The 19,898-nt window shown below is 40.9% G+C and overlaps 1 protein-coding gene across 1 annotated transcript in view, besides 1 other annotated feature; it reads right to left on the bottom strand.

Annotated features, from left to right (window-relative positions):
* Positions 1 to 18,756, bottom strand: part of CPQ (carboxypeptidase Q) — a 498,260-nt gene extending 479,504 nt beyond the window's left edge. Inside the window, exon 1 of the mRNA NM_016134.4 lies at positions 18,596 to 18,756. The gene's annotated coding sequence lies outside the window, so the exon portion shown is untranslated. The remainder of the gene's footprint in view (positions 1 to 18,595) is intronic.
* Positions 18,332 to 18,881: a silencer, noted in NCBI's record as "silent region_19389". NCBI's record gives its function as "represses an Ori minimal core promoter by ATAC-STARR-seq in GM12878 lymphoblastoid cells {active_cell/tissue: GM12878}" and the evidence as "EXISTENCE:reporter gene assay evidence [ECO:0000049][PMID:35858748]".

Raw genomic sequence — 19,898 nt, 5'->3', positions numbered from 1 at the left:
AAACTGACACTAGTAAAAATAGAAATTTGCTCAAGGTCATACAGTTTTTTTTTAATTTATAAACTCCAACTTTTCCAAAGAATAATTTAAACTCCTTTGATTCTTCTCCAATATTGCCTTCCTCACTTCCTTTATGTTTCTACAGCATGTGTCCAAGTCCTTCACTGCTCTTCCAGTCACAGAGACTTATCATTGAGCATTTCTGTCAACAGAGATGATGACACACACACACACAAACACACACCTACACACACAATATTTGTTCAATAGAAGTTTAAGATGTTGAAAAAAATGAAGTCAGCCCTTAGAAGTATATAAACACATATCAGCACTGCTCTTTTCTCTATCTCAACTGCAATCACTTTTATAATTTTTTAAGCACAAACGGTTTACAACTGTGCAAAAGAAACTAAAGATTTTCTTAGGTTTGAAAAGTGCTCACAGCCTGGATATTTTCTTTAGTTACCTAACCTAATCCCATGGTCCACAGCTTGGCACAGTCTCCACAGTTCTCAACAGGGACAAGATCAGGCCCAGAAAGGAAGAGCATACAACAGTATCAGCTGAAACTGCTTCCCCATCAGGAAGGCCAAGGCTGACAACAGGTCAGCTGAGGAAACAAACATTTCTTCCATTGACAAGTGTTTAATTGGACATTTGGAGAATCTAATGTCATGTATGCAGATGAAAATGTTTGAGGAGTTGTTTACAGTGTAGTTTGTGCCAGACAGTCTCCAGTGCCAAGCCAGCACACAGCCTCCCATTATTCTGCTGGGCTCCACTTCTGAAGATGTTTCGGGGCTCTCTGAGCCTTGTAAATTTCCACATCCAAAGGCTCATCTGTGTTTTCAATGCAGAGTCCTTTTTCCCTTGTGAGGAGACATCAGTCCTTCCCCTGCCAATCTCTGTTATTGCCTGTCCTGGTTCAGAAATGGGTTTGGAAAAATGACTTGAAAGGTGATTACCCATTCTCTAGAAAGTTTAACGTTGAGATTTTGTTTTGTTTTGTTTGAGACAGGGCTTTGCTCTGTAGCTCAGGCTGGAGTGCTGGTGCGATCTTGGCTCACTGCAGCCTCACCCTTACAGGGCTCAGGTAATCCTGCCGCCTCAGCCTCTCAAGTAGCTGGGACCACAGGAGTGCCACACCACACCCAACTAATTCTCATATTTTTTGTACAGTTGAGGTTTTGCCATGTTGCCCAGGTTAGTGTTGAACTCCCGGGCTCAAGCGATCTGCCTGCCACTCAAAGTGCTGGGATTGTATGCATGAGCCACCACACCTGGCCAAGCATTGAAGTTTTAATAATTTTTGAAAAACCAACAAAAAGGAAATGCCAGACCCCAGCTCCTTACCCCAAAACTGGGTCTTAACAGATTTAATTATTTTGAGAATTGTTTCTGTTATTCATTGGCCCAGGAAAATAAAGCTTAGTAGCTCAGCTAATAGACAAGTCTACCTAATTATGCCAGCTTTAAGGATGCAGTTCTTCATTAGGAGAATAAACAAGGATATACTACAAATAAACATTGAGGAATCCATTTATCTTTAAGAACTGGACCATTAATACTCTGCCCTGAAAAATGCAATGCAGAAGAAGATGCGATTATCAAAAATTGTTACAATGTCTTCACTTTGCCCCCCATTTTATTATCACATATCTTCATCAAGAGAAATTTTTAAATGTTAAAAGTTCCAAATTGAAAATACACATTAAAAATACTGTTTATGTGTAATGTTAAGGATATTTAATTCAAGAAAAAAATAATGAACAAAAATTCTGCCACTCTTGCAAAAGACATATTAAATATAAGGACTATTATCCAAAATATACAAAGAACTCTTAAAAACTCAGCAACAAGAAAACAAACAACCCAATTAAAAAATGACCCAAAGACCTTAACAGACACCTTACCAAAGAAGATATAAAGTGGAAAATAAACATGTGAAAAGATACTTCACATCATATGTAAGCAGGGAAATGGAAAAGAAAACAAGATACCACTACAGACCTAGCAGAATGGCCCAAAACCATAATACTGACAACACCAAATGCTGGTGAGGATGTGGAGCAACAGGAATGCTCACTCATTGCTGGTGAGAATGTAAAATGGTGCACCCACTTTGGAAAATAGTTTGACAGTTTCTTAAAAAACTAAACATACTCTTAACATACAATCCAGCAATGGCATTCTTTAATATTTTCCCAAAAGGATTGAAAACATGTAAACACAAAAACCTGCACATGGATGTAAAGAGCAGCTTTATTCATAATTGCCAAAATTTGGAAGCAACCAAGATGATCTTCAGTAGGTGAACGGATAAATAAACTGTAGCACACCCAGACAATGGAATATTATTCAGAGCTAAAAAGAAATGTGCTATCAAGCCATAAAGAGACAGGGAGGAGAAGTAAATGCATATTACTCAGTGAAAGAAGCGAATCTGAAAAGACTACATACTGTATGATTCCAACTATATGACATCTTGGAAAGGGCAAAACTACGAACACAGAGAAAAGATCAGTAGTTGCCAGGAGTGAGGGGAAGGGAGGGATGAACAAGTAGAGTACAGGGGATTTTTAGGGCAATCCAAACCCATAGAAAGCACACCACCAAGAGTGAACGCTAATACAAACCATGGGCTTTGGGCGATGATGATATGTCTATATGGGTTCATCAATTGCAACGAATGTACCACTCTGGTAGGGAATGCACATGTGAGGGGCAGGTAGTGTATGGGATATTTCTACACCTTCTCAATCTAAAACTGCTTTTCAAAAAAAAGTAAAGTCTTTTTTAAAAAAAAGTCTGCCACTTGTTTTACATTTGATATGTTCATTTTTTACCCAATGATCTCCATTTTATAAAAAGTCACAATAAAAATATTAGCATTTCTTAACTAGTTCATTTTTCACACTGCAAAGATTGATTAATTATCTACTATGTTCAGAGCAACTGCCACTGTTTCATATATACAGAAATAAAGAATATGTCCTCTTTGGTCTCAGAAAGCTAGTGAAAGAAGAAGGCAAATGACTATCATATAAAACAAAATAAATTCTTCAGTACTTATATAAAGTAAAATAAAATCACAACAAAGTATTGCAGGATTATCTCTGGAGAGAATAAGAAAAAGATAACAGAAAAGATGATATTTCAGATCAGCCTAGAAGGCTGAATTAATTTTCATAGATATTAAATTTCATAGGTATGGTAGGAAGAGAATTTTCAGTTAAAAAACAAATATGAGCAAAGGTATGAACATTTATAGTATGTTCACCAATAATGTTAAAGAGTCTAGGAAAGCTGGGAAAGCACTAGGGAGAAGTATAAACACACACACACACACACACACACACACCAAATGTATTCTCAGCCCCATTTCAGACCTACTGATTCAGAACCTACAAGAAGTTGGGTGAGACCCCCAAATCAGTATTTTCTAAATCTTCCTAGGTGATCCATTATACATTCATGAGTACAGAATACATAGAGGGATACAGTCGGTGTTATGGGCTAAATTGTGTTCCCCAAAATTCATACGTTAAAGCCCTAACCCCCAGGGCTTTGGACTGTGACTATTTGAAAATGGGGCTTTGAAAGAGGTGTTAAGGTAAAATGAGACTATCAGGGTGGGCCCTAAAAGAATCTGACTGGTGTCCATATAAGAAGAGGAAACTGGAATACACAGAGCGATATCAGGGGTGTGCATGCACAGAGAGAAGACTATGTAAGTACCTCGAGAAAAGATGGCCACGTGCAAGCCAAAAAGAGAGGCCTCAGAAGAAACCAAACATGCAGACACTTTGATCTTGGACTTCCAGCCCCCACAACCATGAGAAAATTCATTTCTGTTGTTTAACCTACCCAGTCTGCAGGATTTTGTTGTGGTAGCACTAGCAAATACAGTAGGTACATGCACTATGAATCCACCTAGAAATATACCTTAATTACAGATCTTTAAGAACCTTAAATGCCAAATTAGGAGTTTGGGATTTATTCCACAAGCAATTTTTCAAAATGTAGGTCTTCTGAGAGAGGAAGTAACATGATCCAACTTATGATCTAACTCTGAGGCAGTGTAGAGGATAAAGTGGTTTAAAATATTCTGCATGGCCGAGTCAAGAGTTAGGACTAGCGTAATGACAGCAAGGATGTGGGCAAAATTCATAGACACAACAGCCCTTGGCGACTTACTAATTCTGAAGAAAAGGATTCAGGAAAGGTGGAGAGTTAAGGGCAATCTCCCCGACTATGAGCCTGTTTTGTACCCTGTATTTCAGACACATCAAATTAACTACTATCCCTTGGATTGAGATGCCACTAACCTAAATAGAAAATACAGAAAAAGCATGTTTGGAAATGAAATGAATGAAGTGAAAACCAGATAATGGAAATCAGAAAGAAGTAAAGTGTAGAGATGAAGATCTCATGTGTATAGAAAGATTATTAAAGCCGTAGGGTAAAGAGCACTGCCCACACTTCCAATTTCAGTACCAACATGTAAAGAACTCGGAAGTCAGCACTCATGTCCTTACAATAATGAAACAAAACAAAGTGAAAACCAGCGACTTTCCTTGGATGCCCCACAGAACTGAAGTTGCAGGGCAAACTACCACCCTAAAATCTGGAGAGACAGGCAAATCCAGAGAGTCACAGCCAAGATCTACTCACCTGGAACAGAAGCTGCTGGAACCACAAAATGGTAGGAACTCTGAAATGGTAATTTTGACAAATTACTGGAGGCTGAGTATAGACTAAAATGAGAGTGAAAAACACCTAGGGCCATAGTCTTTGTAGGGAAGATAACCACAAATTTGGGTAATTACAAGACAACTACCACAAAAGAGCAAAGACAGAAGGGAAACTAAAGTACCAATGGATAATAATAGTGGCTAATACTAACTGAGCATTTACCATGTGGCAGGTCTATCTTAAAGGTTTACATTTCCTAACCCTTACAACAACCCCATATGGCGGTGCATTTATTTCCTATTTCTGCTGTAACAAAATACCACAAATTTGGTATCTGAATACAAATTTATTATTTTGCAGTTCTTTAGGTCAGAAGTCTGACACTGTATGCATCACGTAAAAGCAAGGTATCGGCAGGACTGCATCCCTTTCTGGAAGCTTTAGGAGAGAATCTATTTCCTTGCTTTCCTCAGTTTCTAGTGGCCACCCACATTCCTTGGCTCGTGGCCACCCACATTCCTTGGCTCATGGCCCCCTTCCTCCATCTTCAAAGCCAGTGGCACTGTCTCTCTTTGAACATTCTTCCATAATCACATCTTCCTAACTCTCTGACTTCTTCTGCTTCACTCTTCCACTTTTAAAGACCTTTGTGATTACATTGGGCCCACCAGGATAATCCAGCATAATTTCCTATTTTAAGGCCAGATGATTAATAATGTTAATTCTATCTGCAACCTTAATTCCCCTTTGCAATGTAATCTAACATGCACAGTTTCAGGGATTAAGATATGGACACCGTAGGGGGTGGTAGGGAAGACAGTATTCTGCCCACTGCAGACAGTTATAATTTTTATCCCAATTTTATGGATGAAGAAATGGAGGTATAAAGAGTATATGTGTTTGGCCCAAAGTCACATAGGTGATGGTGGTAGACCTCAAATTTGAACTCAGGACAATGACTTCAAAGCCCATGTTCTTAACCATTAAGCCACAGGAAATGCAAGGTGCCAGTGAGTTATTAGTTTAAGTTGTAAACCCTAAAATTTGGACTGAGTAGGCAATGAAATGAAGTCAGAATAATGCTGATTTCCATGATGCACCTTCTGCTTCTCAAAGAACTTAGTTGGTGTTTATGATACCTCCAGCCACTTTCTAACCTTCCTTTGGTCCCTGATTTTCTTTAAGCTTTAGCTCAAAAAAGCTAATGAAAAGAAAAACCCTACAAAAGAATAGCCAGGTGTTTTAGATGGTAAATTTTGGTATACAATACATATGGCATTAATGATTTAAAATACTCAAATGTAACAAATACAGCCTCAGATTAGTTATGAATAACATAGATCCAATGTATTTTGATAATGAAAAAAGAATCTCAAAATGATGCTCTGGGCACAAAAGAGACATACGTATATAAACGTGGAAGATGAATTATATGAGCTACTTCACAGCATTATGAAAGGAGAGAGGTATGTTTTCTTTTCATCATCTCAACCTGTTAAAAGCTAGCTGGAAACAGGGGCTAAACCAGAGGGCTAAGGCACAAGGCCAGTAAGAGTAAGAAGGACTCTGGAATTCACTAAAGTCTTCATTTAAGGCTTTTGGGTTTTGTTGTCGTTGTTGTTTTGTTTTGTTTTTTACAATGTCTCATAAATGTTATAAGAGGATGTGAATTTTCTGTAAACATGTAGGCATGACATCAGCAAGATGGCAGAATAGGAAGTCCCAGGCTTCACTTGGCTTCACTTCCCTCTACAGAAAGTCCAACAAGCAACAATCCAAAGACAAGAACACTTTTGTGAAAACTTACAAACTTGAGAAAGAAACGGAGACAGCTGAATGAATAGGCCACTGAATCAAATAAAAACCACATTAGAAGAGGAACAATCTCACGTTGACTACACTGCCCCTCCTGCTCCCCCAGATCAGCATGGTGACACACAGAGAGAGGATTTTTTTTTGAGACAGAGTCCCACTCTGTTGCCCCAGCTGAAGTGCAGTGGCACAATCTCAGCTCACTGCAACCTCTGCCTCCTGGGTTCAAGTGATTCTCCTGCCTCAGCCTCCTGAGTAGCTGGGATTACAGACGCACACCACCACGTCCAGCTAATTTTTGTATTTTTAGTAGAGACGGGGTTTCACCATGTTTGCCAGGATGGTCTCAATCTCCTGACCTCGTGATCCACCCACCTCGGCCTCCCAAAGTGCTGGGATTACAGGCGTGAGCCACTGTGCCCAGCCAAGAGGATCTTTTTAACTGGGCCCATACAGTAAAAAAAAAAAAAAGGTAACCAGAGTTTCTAGACATCCAGCTCCCTAGCATTCTGAGACACTTCCCAGAAAGCCCACTCCCATCTGACCTCATGGGGAATACTGGCAGTAATGACATGGCTAGACCTCCTGGGTTAGGTATAAACAAAGAAAGGAGGCAGAGCTCACAGGGACCAGTGTGCAAATTTTGGTGATGGCTCTATGTTCCTCCCAGTGGTGGTGCACAATCAGAGATACCAGCCAATGGTATGGCTCACTTGCAAAGCCAAGTTCACTGTTCACAGAAACATGATGAGAAGGTCAGCCTGCTTTGAGTCTTTAGACGGCCAGCCTCAGAGGCGACCTCAATGCCTTACCCAGGCGGGAGATGTGGAGATGACCATCACAGGGCATTTCTGTGGATCATAGGGGTTGGAATTGCCTGACGCAGAAATCCAAAGAGTGACTCAATCCAGACTCAGAGCCCACTCTAAGGCCCTGCCCAGAGACAGGCAATCCTCAACTGTGCAGTTCTATGCAGCATATACTCCAGACCCCATCCATCCTGAGCAGCAACTCCACCTAAACTCAGAGTCCAGCCTGCAGCCCTGCTCAACTGTTGAACCAAAAAAGTAGTACCACCCAGCCAGGAAGTACACCCTACAACCTTGTCCAATCAGAAATTATAGCAGAGCTCAGCCAGTGGTCTCCCCGAAGCATGGGAGCCGAGCCAGCAGCCCCATCAGACCTCAGAGCAAAGGCAGCACCCAGCCAACTATAGCGAGCTCTGCCTGCATGGGGTCATTACCACCTGACCCAACTAGAATCACAGCCTAGACTAAGAAGTAAAGGTCAATCCCTGACAAAGAATACCTGTAAAGACCAGAAGAGCAAGCTGTTGGGGCTGGATGCAGTGGCTTATGCCTGTTATTCCAGCATTTTGGGAGGCCAAGGTAAGTAGATCACTTGAGCCCAGGAGTTCAAGACCAGCCTGGACAACATGGTGAAACCCCTCTCTACAAAAAATACAAAAAGTAGCCAGGCATGGTGGCAAACACCTGTGGTCCCAACTACTCAAGAGGCTGAGGTGGGAGAATCTTATGAGCCCAGGAGGTCAAGGCTGCAGTGAGCTGTCATTATACCACTGCACTCAGGAGGAAGCTGTCTCTTCAAATGTGCAGACACCAATGCTAGAACACAAGGATTACAAATATAGACGGTCCCCAATTTATGATGGTTCAACTTACAACTATACAACTTTACAACGGACTTATCAGGATATAACCCCATTGTAAGTCAAGGAGCATCTGCACTTATGATGGTTCAACTCATAATTTTTTGACATTACAATTGGTTTACTGGGGTATTAAACACATTTCTTACTTACAAAGTTTTGAAATTACTATGGGTTTAATAGGACATAAGCCCATTGTAAGTCAAAGAGCATCTGTAATCATCAAAAGAAACTAACAAAGTTCCAATAACAGACTAAAAAATGAAGATCTATAAAGTGGCAGAAAAAAGATTCAGAAAAATCCTTGTAAAGCAGTTCAGTGAACTACAAGAATATATGGATATAAAATTAAATGAAATTTGAGAAACAATACACAAAATGAGAATATAGAAGAAGTAGAAACAATAAAAAAGAAACCCAAGAGATAAAGAATACAATGACTTAATTGAAAAATGCAATAGAAATCTTCAACAGCAGACTCAATTAAGCAGCACAATCAATGAGCTAAATACAGAATATTTGAAATTATTCATCAGAGGAGCAAAAAGAAAAAAGAATGGAAAAGATGAAGAAAACCTACAAGAATTATGTGACACAATCACAGTCAAGGGAACTAATCTTCACATAATTTCAGAAGACGAAGAGAGAGAAAAATGGCCAGAAAGTATATTTTAAAAGGAAACAGAAAAAATAACCCTAAAATTCATAGGGAATTAAAAAAAATCACCAAGATGATCTTAAATAAAACAAACAAAACTGGAGGCATCACACTGCCTGATATCAAACTATATTGCAAAGCCATTAAAAAATCATTGAGGAGAAAGGATACCTGCCTAAACAGGGTTTTAATGCAGCTGAACATGCTGTATTCTGGAAAAAAAAAAAAAGCCACAAAGGACATTTATTAGTAAGGAAGAGAAGTGAGCACCAAGATTTAAGGTAGGAAGGCATAGGCTAACTACTGTTTCATGCAAATGCAGTCAGGTTTATGGTCAGGACTGTCATCTATAAAGCTGCTAACCTCCAAGCCTTGATGGAAAAAGATAAACATCAGCTACCAGTCTTTTGGCTTAAACAAGAACTATTTTTCTGGATTGGTTCCACTGATGCTTTTTCTCTGAAGTCAGAAAGTATCTTGCTGGTAAGGGAATGCCTTTTAAAATTATTTTCATATTAGACAATGCCCCTGGCCACCTAGAACCCCATGAGTTCAACATCAAAGACATCCAAGTGTCCTACTTGCCCCCAAACGCAACATCTCTAATCATCCTCTAGATTAGGGGATCATAAGGACCTTGAAGGCTCATTATACACAGTACTCTATGGAAAGGATGTCAGTGCTATGTTAGAGAACCCCGATAGAGAGAACATCATGAAAGCCTAGAAGGATTACCCCATTGAAGACACCATCATTGTTATAGAAAAAGCTGTGAAAGCCATCAAGCCAACAATAAGTTCCTGCAGGAGAAAACTGTGCCCAGCTGTTGTGTATGACTTCACAGGGTTTATGACAAAGCCAATTCAAGGAAATAATGAAAGCGATTGTAAATATAGTGGGAAAAAAGGTGGTGAATGAAGGTGTCAAGATATGAATCTTGGAGAAATTCAAGAGCTAATAGACACTACACACCAGAGGAATTGACAGAAGACAACTTGACGGAGTGCTTCTGAACCAGTGCCTTATGATGATGAGGAGGATATAAAAGTACCAAAAAGCAAATTAACATCAGACAATCTGGCAGAAGCGTTCTGATTATTTAAGACTGCATTTGACTTCTTTTATGACATGAACGCTTCTATGATATGGGCACTGAAGCTAATGCAAATAGCAGAAGAAAGACTGATACTGTATAGAAACATTTTAAGATAAACTTTACAACATTTTTAGAAAGAGAAAAGTAGCCATACAGAAATTATTATGTATTTCCAGACAGTTACACCAAGTGGGCCTGCCTCTCCTCCCTCGCCTTTCACCTCCTCGCTTCTTCCACCTCTGCCACCCCTAAGACAGCAAGACCAATCCCTTCTCTTCCTCCTCCTCCTCCGCCTACTCAACATAAAGATGACAAGAGTGAAGACCTTTATGGTGATTCACTTCCACTTAATAAATAGTAAATATATTTTCTCTCCCTTAGGATTTTCTCAATAAAATTTTCTTTTCTCTACCTTACTCTATTGTAAGCAGATAGTATATATTACATGTAACATACAAAATATGTGTTAATTGGCTATTTATGTTACTGGTAAGGCTTCCAGTCAACAGTTGGCTATTAGTAGTTAAGTTCTGGGGGAATCAAAAGTTATACTAGAATTTTCAACTGTAGAGGGAGTCAGCACCGCTAAGCCCCGCATTGCTCAAGGATGAACTGTATAAGGAACTCAAACAACTCAATAGCAAGAAAACAAGCAACCTGATTAAAAAATGGACAAAGAGCCTGAACAGACAATTCTCAAAAGACATATAAATGGCCAACAGATATATTAAAAAATGCTCAACATCATTAATTATCAAAGAAATGCAAATCAAAACTGCAATGAGACTATCTCACCCCAGTTAGAATGGCTATTATGAAAAAGACAGAAAATGACAAATGTACTAGGCACTGTGGCTCACTCCTGTAATCCAGCACTTTGGGAGGCCAAGGAGAGTAGATTGCTTGAGCTCAGGAGTTTGAGACCAGTCTGGGCAACATGGCGAAACTCCTTCTCTACAAATATACAAAAATTAGCCAGGCCCAGTGGCACACCTGTAGTCCCAGTCACCTAGGAGGCTGAGGAGGGAGGATGGCTTGAGCCTGGGAGGCAGAGGTTGCAGTGAGCCAAGATCACGCCCCTGTACTCCAGCCTGAGCAAAAGAACCAGATCCTGCCTCAAAAACAAAATTCTGGGGCCGGGTGCGGTGGCTCACGCCTGTAATCCCAGTACTTTGGGAGGCTGAGGCGGGCGGATCACGAGGTCAGGAGATCGAGACAATCCTGGCTAACAAAGTGAAACCCCGTCTCTAGTAAAAATACAAAAAAAATTAGCCGGGCATGGTGGCGGGCGCCGGTAGTCCCAGCTACTCAGGAGGCTGAGGCAGGAGAATGGCGTGAACCCGGGAGGCGGAGCTTGCAGTGAGCAGAGATGGCGCCACTGCACTCCAGCTTGGGCGATAGAGCAAGACTCCGTCTCAAACAAACAAAAAAAAATTCTGGTGACAATGTGAAGTAAAGGAAACTCTTATACATTGTTGATGGGAATGTAAATTAGTATAGCCATTACAGAAAACTTCATGGAGGGTCCTCAAAAAAACTAAAGATAGAACTATCATATGATCCACCAATCCCACTTCTAAGTACATAGCCAAAGATTTGAAATAATTATATTAAAGAGACATATGCAATCCCATGTTCACTGCAGCACTATTCACAATAGCCAAATTATAGAATCAACCGAAGTGTCCATCAACAGATAAATGGCTAAAGAATAGGTGGCACATATGCACAATGAAATACTATTCTGCCTTTAAAAATGAGGAAATTCTGTCATTTGTGACAACATGGATGAAGCTGCAGGACATTATGCTAAATGCAATAAGCCAGACATAGGCACAGAAAGACAAATACCACATGATCTCACTTCTACGTGGAATCTAAACAACAGAACTAAGAAGCGTAGAGTAGAATGGTGCTTACCAAAGTCTGAGGGGTTGGGGAAAATGGGGAATGCCAAAGGGTTCAAAGTTTCAATTAAACAAGAGGAATAAATTTTTTGAGATTATATTGTCAGCATGATGACTATAGTTAATTATACTGTGTTGTATATTTCAAAATTGCTAAGAGAGCAAATTTCAAATATTTTCACCACAAAAATGATAAGTATTTAAGGTGATGGGTATGTTTATTAGCTTGATTTAATCATTCCACATTGTATGGAAGGTTGTATTATGACATATATCAACATTACTTTGTATTTCATAAATATATACAACCATAATTTGCCAATTTACAGTAAAATAAAAAAGAACTTATTAATGCAAAAAAGGAGACATATATACATACATATACCCCATATATATCCCAATATATATCATGTACATATATATTCATACATAACATAATTTTTTGATTAATAATAAAATATACTATTAAATGTTCCATATCCCTATTCACTCATAAATTATATTATTCAACCTCATTAGTTATATTATTCAAATCTTGTGTATTACCATTTGACTTTGTCTACTTGATTTGTCATGTAAAACAACAGATCTAAAGTGTCCTACAAATAGCTTCGCTTATTTCTCATAGATCTAATCATTAGTTTTACATGTTTTAAAGATATGCATTTTTAAATGTTTGATGCATAAAGAGTCACAACTACCTCTTCTTCCTTACAAAGATTATCTTTTGTCAGTACAGAATAACTCTGGGTCTAATATAACAGTCTTTGCTTTGAAATATACTTGGTTTCATTTTAATACTGATGTAGAATTCAAGGACCATAAGAGTTTCTAGTTTTCTTACCCTGGCTCACTATATTGGTGAATTTACATTTATGACTTTCTTGTGGTCTAACTGTCAGACTCAAGGCAGTGCCAGTGCTGGGCTTCTCTCTCCATTTCCCAGCTGAGTTTTGCCCCATCCAATGGCATACCTGTTAGGTGCTTGGTAAACAGTAAAGGTAGCTGAATGGATTTAGCTGCAAGTCATGATGTCCATTGTATTTTAAATGGTCTCTAACAATTAGAGGATCCAGCTCCAGATCCCCATCTTCATATTCAATACCCAAGTCAGAAAAATCTTCATATATGATAAATATAGATGTAGGCTACTAGAGATGTATCTTGCTTTAAGTCAACCCCATATTTGAAAATCTGGATTTATTCAGATAATATATCAAGGAGTGACTGATTGTTCATTTTATAAAGGGATTATTTGCCTCATAAAAAATTTAATCATAACACTTTGGATATTGTGGACTCCCCTACTGCACTGAAAGTGTCATTTGATTTACGTAGATAACACTCTATGCACAACTCTTCATGAACATCCCTATTGTATATAGCATAATCAGTGCTAAGGATCCTTTCACATCACTGCCTGTCTCCCCAGAGATCTTGGCTCTTTTGGTCTTCAAATACCATCTGCTTTACTTTTACATTTATGTGATATGATATGATAAGGGAAGGAGGCACACTGCAGAAGGCCAAGGTTCCAAGGTAAGGCAAGGCGTTGATACAATGGACAAAGCAATGGACCCAAAGTCAGAAGGCTCTGAGTCCCTGCCAGCCATGGGATCTGAGCCGTCTGAGCCATGAAACAAACTGCAGCCTCCTTCATGCCAGATTTTAAGTTTATAAAAGAAAGATAATAATGCCTGGCTGCACCTGCTTCCTAGGTTCTTGTAACAATCAAATATAAAATTGCTTTTTAAATATAAGGCGCTATGCGAATCTTTTTTCCAAGGAAGTCTAATACCACTATATCAAGAGAACACTGCGTTGATCTGCCTTTTTCTTTAACACCTGTTTGTCATAGAATTCCTTAAATTCTCTGAAAAATTTCTCCGAATCATTACCCTTTTCATTTTTATCTTATTTTCCCTGTTACTCTTTGCTTAGTTCAAAGTCTCCAAACACTTTCTCTGCAAAATGAGATCAAGCCCTCTGCCCAGCACCCACACCTGTTTGTCTCTTCCTGACAAACTGAATAAGATGAGAAATCAAAGCTTGGGATATCTTACCATTAAAGAAGTACAGTTATTTGGAAGCGCCAGCTCAAATTTCTTCTCTGTATTTCATATCTGCCTATACCTGTGTCTTCAGAAACCACTGCTTTCTGCAACACTCCTGCCATTTCCTTATCTTTGTTCCTTTGAATGACTCTGGTCTGTATTTCTCTTTTTCAGTTTCTCCTGGCAGCTTATAATAACTCCTCATTGTTTGAGTCTCCAATCTTTTTTCCTTCACTGGCACTTACATAAGAATCAGAGTTCTCTAATAACTTGCCTGAAATATAATGTAATGGTCATTAGATAAGTATGATGTATTTTTTAAGTGAGTTATTAAATTGATGTGTCTTTTTAGACTGAGGCCCTATTGTAATGTTTGGCCAAGGTCTTGACTGTGTGACATCACAGCACAGCTACAGAAAAGGCTATATCCTGGGATCTCCACCCAGATGTTCCACAGCTACCTCTGCTCACTCACCGTCTTTCTCCCGAAACTTCTTCCTCACCTTATATTTCTTACCCTCATTAGTGGCATCTCCACTCACCCAGTTAAGCAATTCCAAAACCTCAGATTATTTTCAAACATATTTCCCATATCCAGCTCCAGCTAGTCATTAATCCTGCTCTGTCTTCAAATAGTCTCTCAAACCTATCTTAGTTTAGATCCTTATCCTATTTCATTAGACCTATGGCAATAGCATCTTCATTTTCCTGTGGCCTTCTGGCTCTTCCTTCCCCAATTCTTCTGAAACATTATTACTGTAGCTATTTTCTAAGGAAAATCCAATCATATCATTCCTCTGTTTAAAATTCAGCTTAAAAATGCTGAAAAGAGCCAGGCACAGTGGCTCATGCCTGTAATCCCAACACTTTGGGAGGCCAAGGCAGGCAGATAGCTTGAAGCCAGAAGGTCGAGATCAACCTGGCCCACATGGCAAAGTCCCGTCTCTACTAAAAATAAAAAAATTAGCCAGGCTGTAGTGGTGTGTGCCTGTAGTCCCAGCTACTTGGGAGGCTGAGGCAGGAGAATCACTTGAACCGGGAGGCGGAAGTCGCAGTGAGATCTTGCCACGGCACTCCAGCCTGGGTGACAGAGAGAGGCCTTGCCTCAAAACAAAACAAAACAAAAATAATGCTGAAAAGGATTATCTAGACTGTGATAAAGTTTAAATAACATGACATTCAAGGACCATCACTGTCTGGCCCTAACCTTACCACACCTCCCTACCACAGCCACACTGAACTCCCATCTCCTGAAGAATGCCATGTTCATACTTGCCTCCTTTTCCTTGCTCTTGTTGTTCTCCATTCTTGGAATACCCTTCTCCCTCTGCTTGGTCTTTAGGCTTTAAAACACAGTTCAAAATTCACCTTCTCTGCAAAGTCTTCCTGAGTTCCAATCATACCTCTTTCCTGGAAGAGTGAGTGGCCACTACTTCCACATTACCCTGTGGTGCAATTGTTTGCAGATGGGTCACTCTCCTATTTAGATTTGTTCTCATTCATCTTTACCTGTCACATAGTATACACTCAATAAATGGTTATTGAAATTAATATTTTCTGAATAAAATAAAGTAAAATTCCACAGATCCACAAGTACATCCCTCCAAATACTTTGCTGCATTAAAGAAAAGGGCCCAGGAATAAAGAGAAAGAACTAATAATGTGACTGTAACAAACACATGAATGGGTTGTTTGTTTTTAAAAGCTAAGTGGTTTAGGGAGGGTAGGGGAGAAGAAAGTACATTTTAAAGCTCTAGCTGCAGGGCAAGTAATAAAAATTGTTGCTTTAATGTTTTTTTCATAATATTGTGAGCAATGGGAAGGTCTATTCCATCACACCAGCCTTCGGGGCAGAAAGTTTCAGCCTCCTGAGCTAAATCAAACTGGCATCAGCTCTTAGTTTTTCAGGCGGCCACAACTGGTCTCTGCTTTCCATGGGGCTAAACTTGGCTGACGAAAAAGAAACAAAATAATTTCCCATTTATTTTATGGGCCTCTCTTTTCGTCTTTTGCTCTCTTCAATTAATTATAAGGGTTCTGGAAACCCATCCTGCATTCTTGTCTCTGGATTACACAGATGTAGGCATTGTTCTTTGTCTATACTAGGGGTTGTTGGTCTTATAAAGAAAGAGGTTGGGAGGCAGTGCCTTACCAAGGGCACAAAGCTAGTCCAAGAAACAACACTGCTTAGCACTCATGGTTCAAAGCCCTTAAGTGCCATTCACTGATGGCAGCTGTCGATGTCACTCATTTTATATTCCCTAAATTGGTAAGTCTGAACACATTTAAAATTAAGATGCATGGGCACCTAGGTCAAAGTATCAGAGTCTCCTGGAATCTCAATGGAATTCAATAATTTTCAAAATGATAAAACAACCAACTCCCCTATAATTCAGTCTTCATCATTTCACCCTGTGCTCTCATTCTAAATTCATTTACCCAAATAACCCAGGGTTTGTATATATGCTTGAACACACACAGAGACCACATTCTTCAAAGTCACACAGTTTTTCCTGGCAGGATTGTCTTGTTTCTGGGAGAAACCCTGTTTCCATCTGCTTGAGTTTTGAGTCCTAACTCTCCCATTTTCCATGTACTGTTTCTAGTTAAGAAGATCAAATAGGACTTACCATAGTATCTAGCTCTTAGATATATAGTGATGATTAAATGGGGCAATATAAGTAAAAAGGTTAAATATAACAGTGCCTGGTGTATGGTCAGTGCCCCATAAATATCAGCTTTGTAACATTCCATGCCTGTATGACACATGACCTCATTGGGAAAACAGTGTGAGAAAGTTGGCCCTTTTCACCAAGCAACATGTGTATTCCACTTCTCCTTATAAACTTGAATTCACTGAAGTAGGTAACATTAATTTCATTTTACTTAACACATTTGGAACTTTGTGTTTGTTAAATGTAGCATGCAAAAATATTTAAATATGTATGTATAATGACTTTTGAAGTGCCTTTAAAAAATCTCCAAGGTCCTTCCAGCTCCAAAATGTGATCTATGATAACTAATCTCAAATGCATGCGAAGAAATAGTGATGCAGTTCCCCAGATATACTGGGAATATATGGCATTGTCAGACTGGGTTGCACTGGAAAAAAGTCAGACCCAGGACCAGGAGCCTGTGACAATGTAGAAGAAAATCTTACCCTCCTTTCTCCCCACCAGCCTAGGGTTTATTACACTTATCTTGAGCTCCCAGGCTTTCTTGTTGCAGATGTGGAGAAGAAAGGAAATGAGCTGTAAACAGCAAAGAAGAGAGCAGAGACAAAATGCTATGGGAGGTGAAGTAAGCAGAACTCCATGAAATCATCTGTAATTTCACCTTCTAACCCTGATACAAAAGAATCCCAGAGGTTTAACTCAGGCAGGGTTCCTAGCTAAACATCTTCATTTTGGAGATTAAGAAATTAAAACCTAAAGAGATCAAGTGGCAAGTCCAAGGTCATCCAGCTCTTCTGGAACCTGGACCTGGCAAGTAAGAACGGCTGCAGTGACCAACTGTATTAAAGCTATGTGCTAAGCCTATTTGTTTACAAACAGATAAGCGTCTTTCTGGGCCTTATGTAGCCTTCTTCAGTCACCTGCAAATCAGCCAGCACCTGTCTCAGGAAAACAGACAAGATTCTTAACAACTCTGAATTCAAAAGAAAAGCCTGGTTTTACAAACAAGTCAGAGTCATATGGTTCTGCCTTCAGAGTCACCCTTATCTTTAAGAAATACATGAAATAATATTATAGTGACAATGATTCTTTAAACGTCCAAAGTAGAAGTGAACAAAACACAAGCAAGAAAAAACCTAGGCATATTTTGTTTTAAGCAAACACATATAGCCAAGTCCAACAAAAATGGAAATACCAGGGGGCGTTTCCAGAGACCATTTGAACAGCATAGAACTCTTTTTAAGTGGTCCCAATCAGAATGCCTCCATTTGCAAAAGTGCGACATTCACACAACTTTTTGGAAAGCTATCAAAAAACAGGAGTTGTAAGCCTGCGTCTCCACTGCTTCCACTTCATACATCTTTATTTTCACTCATGCACTGATTGATTCAGCTGTATCTCGTATGCACTCATTTATTCACTTACTCATTTGTTAATTCACTCAGTTCTACGGCATAGGTACTCATTCAATTACTTATTGAGTAGCTCTGAGTCCTAAGTCAGATGGGACTTTGCCCTCATGGAACTTCGATTCTAGGAGAGTCCAGTAGCAGAAACTAGACGCATCAAAAGCGAAAGTACACGGTAAAATGCGAAAGGAACCCCAAAAGAACTGCATAAGGCATATTGGAGGCTCAGGGGGACCAGGATTGTTTGCAGATGGGGGATGAAGGGGGCGGCTTGGGGCTGAGCCCTGGAGCTGAGGGGAAGTGAAACCGTGTTGGGAAGGACGGCTGAGGGCCGTGCTCGCTGCTGTCCCGCAGCACCCTCCACCACCCCCACGTCACAGCTTCCCCATTTCTAGGCTCGGTGACTCCACTGTCACCGAAGGGGCAGCCACAGGCTCCCAACCCGCCGCTCCCCAGCCAGGTCCTCCCGTCACGCCCCCGAATGAGCGATGCTGGAAGTCCGTCCCCCTCTGCCCCCGCCCCTGGCCTGCTCCAGCCTCAGCCCGCCCGACCCCCGCGGGTAGGAGCCAAGGCCTCGGCCCAGCCGCCCGCGGGCACTGCCAGTTCGGCTGCAAACACACCTGATAGGGCGGCTCTGACGGCGGCGACGGAGGCGGCTCCCAGGACTAAGCTCGCGGCCTAGCCTTACGGTGGCGGCGGCCACACCCCTGACTGGGCTGGGGCCCTCCGCGCCGCCCCGTGACTGCAGCCCTGCTTGCCGGCCAGGCCGCGGGGCCGAGAGGCGGGGCAAAGACCTGACTCGGGAAGCCGGGGCGGGCGCCGGGTTCGGGCTGGGGGCCACCTCCGGAACGCCTGGGGGGTTCTCACTCGCCCTCCAAGGGCGACCTCAGGGCCACAGATCGGCCGGAAGGCTTCTCAGCTTCTGGGCTGTGGCTCCTGTTAGAAAATTGAGTGTCGCCCTGGGTCCCGAGCCCCTAGGCCTGACTCCTTCGTGCAGGGGCGTCGCCTTCAGACTGGGTGGTGCGCAGGCCAGGGCCGCGTGCTTTTCAGAAGCGCAGCCTCAGGCGAGGCGGGCGGCAGGGGCCTGAGAAGGCTCATGGCTTGGCAGAAGGGTCCTGTGCTTCAGTGGGTGCCCGTGCAGGTGGAGAAGGACGGGGCTGCGAAGCTGAAAGGAAAACGTGAAAGGTTTTTGTGTGTCTCTGAGCCTGAGTAAAGGCCATGCTTTCTGAGCTGTCAAACGCCTCCCAAAGGGAAGAGATTATTAAACCGTTTTCCCACCCTGCCAGGTGTAGGATTGTTAGGCGGTGATGATGGAAGGCAGAGATGACCCGAACTGAGAGATCAGAAAAAGCGTTTTCTCTTTCGTTTGTGCCTGAATTATATGAGGGTGCCCAAGAAGAAAGGAGACTCATCTGATTACCCGGTGTGGCTTATCTCAACAAGTCACACGCATTCTGGTCACAGAGTATGTGCTCAGTGTTTTCAATGCTTTATGTTTTGATAAGTGCAAATTCCTTTGTTTAACGAAACTCTTATCAAATACAAACAGTTATCTTTGTGAAACACTGAGCAGTTCCAGTCTCTCCTCTTAACTAAAAAAACCAAACAGAACTTTTAATTAGAAAAGAAAAGAAAGAATAAGCACATGCCTACTGGGAAAAAAAAAATACCATAAAATGTGCAAAGTCCACTCACCTTCGGTTAACAGTCCCTCTAAACCTTACTAGTCCTGTTGCCCACTGAAACAAGTGTGAACTCTGAGGCATTGGAGGGTCCACATAAACATGGCCCTGGCCCACCTTTCCCGAATCATCTCTCGGATGCCATATCTAACCCCACTGAATTACTTTTTTCTCAAACTATCAAGGGTAAAAGACAAGTTTTTATTATTTCCAATCTGACATGGACCATTATTTCTGTAAA

This window comes from Homo sapiens, chromosome 8 (assembly GCF_000001405.40).
Source record: "Homo sapiens chromosome 8, GRCh38.p14 Primary Assembly".
Taxonomy (NCBI): domain Eukaryota; kingdom Metazoa; phylum Chordata; class Mammalia; order Primates; family Hominidae; genus Homo; species Homo sapiens.
The sequence above is the reverse complement of the archived record's forward strand: the minus strand, read 5'-3'. Positions and strand labels throughout refer to the sequence as shown.